Raw genomic sequence first — 5,237 nt, 5'->3', positions numbered from 1 at the left:
TTGTTAAAAGACTCATAATGATGTTGCTTTAGAAAAAAAAAATGTTGGCTAGGTAGGGTGGCTCACGCCTGTAATCCCAACACTTTCGGAGGCTGAGGCTGGAGGATCCTGTGAGCCCAGGAGTTTGAGACCAGCCTGGGCAGCATGGCAAGACCCCCTCTCTATGAAAAAATTAAAAATTAGCCAGGCGTGGTGGCACACACCTGTGGTCCTAGCTACTCAGGATCCTGAGGTGGGAGGATCACTTAATCCCACAAGGTCAAGGCTGCAGTGAGCCGTGTTCACACCACTGCACTCCAACCTGGGTAACAGAGCGAGACTCTGTCTCTAAAAAAAATTAATTAATGAAAAATGAAAAATGAAAAAAAATTAAGACAAACTATGGCACCCATATGTCACTTTTTGATGTTTAGCTTTAATCTACTTTTTTGAATTGACATTCTAATTACTGATCCCAGCTGTGTCAGGTAAGAGAGCAACAATCTGTTGACTTCAAAATTATCTTACCTGAACAATAGGAGATATGAACTTACTTAGGGGTTGGAAGATTTATTTTAATTATGACCCCACAGAAAAGATTCAAGACAACAAAACTTTAAGATAAGACTTTCTAATATATTAGGTAACAGAGTAAACTTAAATGAGATATTTGTTTACCTTTATTTTTATTTATTATTATTTATTATTATTTTTTGATGGGGTCTTGCTCTGTCACCCAGGCTGGAGTGCAGCGGCAAGATCTCGGATCACTGCAGCCTCCACCTCCTGGGTTCAAGCAATTCTCCCACCTAAGCTACCTGAGTAGCTGGGATTACAGGGGCACGCCACCACACCTGGCTAATTTTTGTATTTTTAGTAGAGACAGGGTTTCACCATGTTGGGAAGGCTGGTCTTGAACTCTTGACCTCACGTGATCCACCCACCTTGGCCTCCCAAAGTGCTGAGATTACAGGCGTGAGCCACTGCACCCCGGCCTATTTTTATTTTTTAATATTTATTTATTTTTGAGACAGAGTTATGCTCTTGTTGCCCAAGCTGGAGTGCAATGGCGTGATCTCGGCTCACCGCAACCTCTGCCTCCCGGGTTCAAGCAATTCTCCTGCCTCAGCCTCCCGAGTAGCTGGGATTACAGGCATGCGTCACCACACCCAGCTAATTTTGTATTTTTAGTAGAGACAGGGTTTCTCCATGTTGGTCAGGCTGGTCTTGAACTCCCGACCTCAGATGATCCGCCCGCCTTGGCCTTATTTTTATTTTTTTAGAGACGGAGTCTGACTCTGTCACCCAGGCTAGAGGGCCGTGGTGTGATCATAGCTCACCACAGCCTTGAACTCCTGGGTTACAGTGATCCTCCCGCCTTGTTCTCCCAAAATGCTGGTATTACAGGCATGAACCACCATGCCTGGTTGCAGTCTTACCTGTTTTTTTTCAAAAATGTTCTGACTATTCCATCCTATTGTAGCCTCTTCAGAATTCTCTCTCTCCAGGATTTAAGGCGCTATCAAGGTCTGTCAATCCTGAGATGAGTTATGTGAAAGTATTTAAGAAAGGATAGGGCCGGGAGCGGTGGCTCACGCCTGTAATCCCAGCACTTTGGGAGGCCAAGCCGGGTGGACCACGAGGTCAAGAGATCGAGACCATCCTGACCAACATGGTGAAACCTCGTCTCTACTAAAAATACAAAAACTTAGCCAGGCATGGTGGTGGGCAACTGTAGTCCCAGCTACTCGGGAGGCTGAGGCAGGAGAATCACTTGAAACTGGGAGGTGGAGGTTGCAGTGAGCCGAGATTGTGCCACTGCACTCCAGCCTGGGTGACAGAGCAAGACTCCATCTTAAAAAAAAAAAAATGATAAGGACTAAGGACTATATACATGTAAAAGTATAGTACTTCCTTCTCTTTCTCATTCTGTCTCTCTCTCTCTTTCTCTCTTTCTTTCACAGGATCTTGCTCTGTTGCCCAGGCTGGAGGGCAGTGGTGAGATCATGGCTCACTGCAACCTGGAACTCCTGGGCTCAAGTGATCCTTCTGCCTCCTGCCTCAGCCTCCAGAGTAGCTGGGACTACAGGCTTGCTCCACCACATCTGGCTAATATATACATCTAATATATTATATGTATTATATACATCTAATATATTATATGTATTATATACATCTAATATATTAGATGTATTATATACATCTAATATATGTATTATATACATCTAATATATGTATTATATACATCTAATATATGTATTATATACATCTAATATATGTATTATATACATCTAATATATGTATTATATACATATAATATATGTATTATATACATATAATATATGTATTATATACATATAATATATTATATGAATATATATATAATATATTATATGAATATATAATACATATACTATAGTATATGTATTATATACATATACTATAGTATATGTATTATATATTCATATACTATAGTATATGTATTATATATTCATATACTATAGTATATGTATTATATATTCATATAATATAGTATATGTATTATATATTCATATAATATAGTATATGTATTATATATTCATATAATATAGTATATGTATTATATATTCATATAATATAGTATATGTATTATATATTCATATAATATAGTATATGTATTATATATTCATATAATATAGTATATGTATTATATATTCATATAATATAGTATATGTATTATATATTCATATAATATAGTATATGTATTATATATTCATATAGTATATGTATTATATATTCATATAATACAGTATATGTATTATATATTCATATAATACAGTATATGTATTATATATTCATATAATACAGTATATGTATTATATATTCATATAATACAGTATATGTATTATATATTCATATAATATAGTATATGTATTATATATTTCATATAATATAGTATATGTATTATATATTCATATAATATATATATTATATATTTCATATAATATATATATTATATATTCATATAATATATTATATATATTATATATTTCATATATATATATATTTTTGAGATGGAGTCTTGCTTTGTTGCCCAGGCTGGAGTGCAGTGGTGCCATCTCGGCTCACTGCAACCTCCGCCTCCCGGGTTCAAGCGATTTTTCTGTCTCAGCTTCCCAAGTAGCTGGGATTACAGGTGCACGCCACCACGCCCAGCTAATTTTTGTATTTTTAGTAGAGATGGGGTTCCACCATGTTGGTCAGGCTGGTCTTGAACTCCTGACCTTGTGATCTACCCGCCTCAGCCTCCCAAAGTGCTGGGATTACAGGCGTGAGCCACTGCGCCCGGCCTCTGGCTAATATTTTTAAAACATTTTTTGTAGAGCCAGGTCTTGCTCTGTTGTCCACACTGGTCTCAAGCTCTTGGCTCAAGCGAAACTCCTGCCTTGGCCTCCCATAAATGCAGGAATTACAGATGTGAGCCACTGTGCCCTGCCTTAGTATTTCTTGAGTTGTTATTTAAATGTAAATATTCCCTTGTCTTTAATGCAGCAGAAAATTCCTCAAGAGCCAAAAATACTTTTTAAATTTTTAAAATTTAAAAGTTTTTAAATTGTTTAATTTTAAATTTTAATAAATAAATAAATAAAAATTTAAAAAAATTAAAAATTTTAAAGGGCACTTCATAAATCTCAAACTGCCCTGGTCCTCACAGTCTTTCTAACTTGGCTGAAGATAGCTCTGCTTTTGCTGAGAAAATGTAGATCACTTTCCTCTCTCTCAAAGGATCTGTGGAGTCATCCCTCTCCTCTTACAACCTCTGCTCCCTCTCCTCACATTGTACACTCAGATTTCAAAATCTTGGAGGACGCACCTCCCTCATCCTTCTCGGGGTTAGCTTTATGTTCTCCGAGTGCACCTCCCAAGGGGCAGCCCACTGATTCCAAATTGGAAGTGCTTTCCTTGGTTCTTATGAACCAATGCAGCAGTTTTTTCTTTTCTGTAAGTAAATTTTTATATTGCACTAAGGACTCCTAGTAACTTTCTTCAGGAGTTACTAAGGATAACATGTCTTTGCTATCCAACACCTAGGGTATTAGGCCGGCTGTGGTGGCTCATGCCTGCAATCCCAGCACTTTGGGAGGCCAAGCTGGGAAGATCACTTGAGCCCAGGAGTTCAAGACCAGCCTGGACAACATAGTAAGACCCCGTTTCTAAGACAAAAACAAAAACTAAAACCCTGGGGTATTAGCACTTAAGTTGACAGAGGAATTGATTTGGCATTGTACTGAAAAGTTGAGCTGGCCGGGTGTGGTGGCTCATGCCTGAAATCCTAGCACTTTGGGAGGCCGAGGTGGGCAGATCACTTGAGGTCAGAAGTTCAAGACCAGCCTGACCAACATGGTGAAACCCTGTCTCTACTAAAAATACAAAAATTAGCCGGGTGTGGTGGCGGGCGCCTGGAATCCCAGCTACTCGGGAGGCTGAGGCAGGAGAATTGCTTGAACCTAGGAGGTGGAGGTTACAGTGAGCTGAGATCATGCCACTGCACTCCAGTCTGGGCAACAGAGTGAGACACCGTCTCAAAAAAAGGAAAGAAAAGTTGAAAAGTTGAATTGCTGGTAACTATGTGAAGCTCCCACTATGCAAATACCTACATCCTTGGGATTCCTCAATTTTCTAGTTAGATAGGTATGTTATCAGTACTTTATGTGTTGACTCAGACAGCTCGTTAGGTATTAGCTTGGCTTAGTCTTTCCTTTAAAATGTCAATTATTAGTTTAGCTTCATTATTATCAATTTGGTGTTTCCTTTAGCCAACTGTATAATTTTTGTGATGCTCATTTGCATGAGCATTTTTTTTTTGACACGGAGTCTCGCTCTGTTGCCCAGTCTGGAGTACAATAGCATGATCTCGGCTCACTGCAACCTCCGCCTCCCAGGTTTAAGCGATTCTCCCGCCTCAGCCTCCTGAGTAGCTGGGATTACAGGTGCGTGCCACCACGCCCAGTTAATTTTTGTATTTTTATAGAGATGGGGTTTCTCCATGTTGGTCAGGCTGGTCTCAAACTCCTGACCTCAGGTGATCCACCTGCCTCGGCTTCCAAAGTGCTGGGATTATAGGCGTGAGCATCAGGCCCAGCCAAGTAGGCTTTCTAGGCCATAATTTTCAAGGAATTCGACTTCAAGATGTGTTAGTTTGTTATTCTTTTTTTTTTTTTTTTTGAGACGGACTCTTGCTCTGTCTCCCAGACTGGAGTTCAGTGATGTGATCTCAG

General features: G+C 39.0%; 1 annotated feature.

Moving 5' to 3' along the window:
* Nucleotides 3,198-3,366: a silencer, noted in NCBI's record as "fragment chr5:68758407-68758575 (GRCh37/hg19 assembly coordinates)". NCBI's record gives its function as "represses an EF-1alpha promoter that drives an FKBP-Casp9 reporter gene in an ReSE screen in K562 erythroleukemia cells {active_cell/tissue: K562}" and the evidence as "EXISTENCE:reporter gene assay evidence [ECO:0000049][PMID:32094911]".

This window comes from Homo sapiens, chromosome 5, assembly GCF_000001405.40.
Source record: "Homo sapiens chromosome 5, GRCh38.p14 Primary Assembly".
Classification (NCBI taxonomy): domain Eukaryota; kingdom Metazoa; phylum Chordata; class Mammalia; order Primates; family Hominidae; genus Homo; species Homo sapiens.
This window is presented reverse-complemented; position numbering and strand designations above follow the sequence as displayed.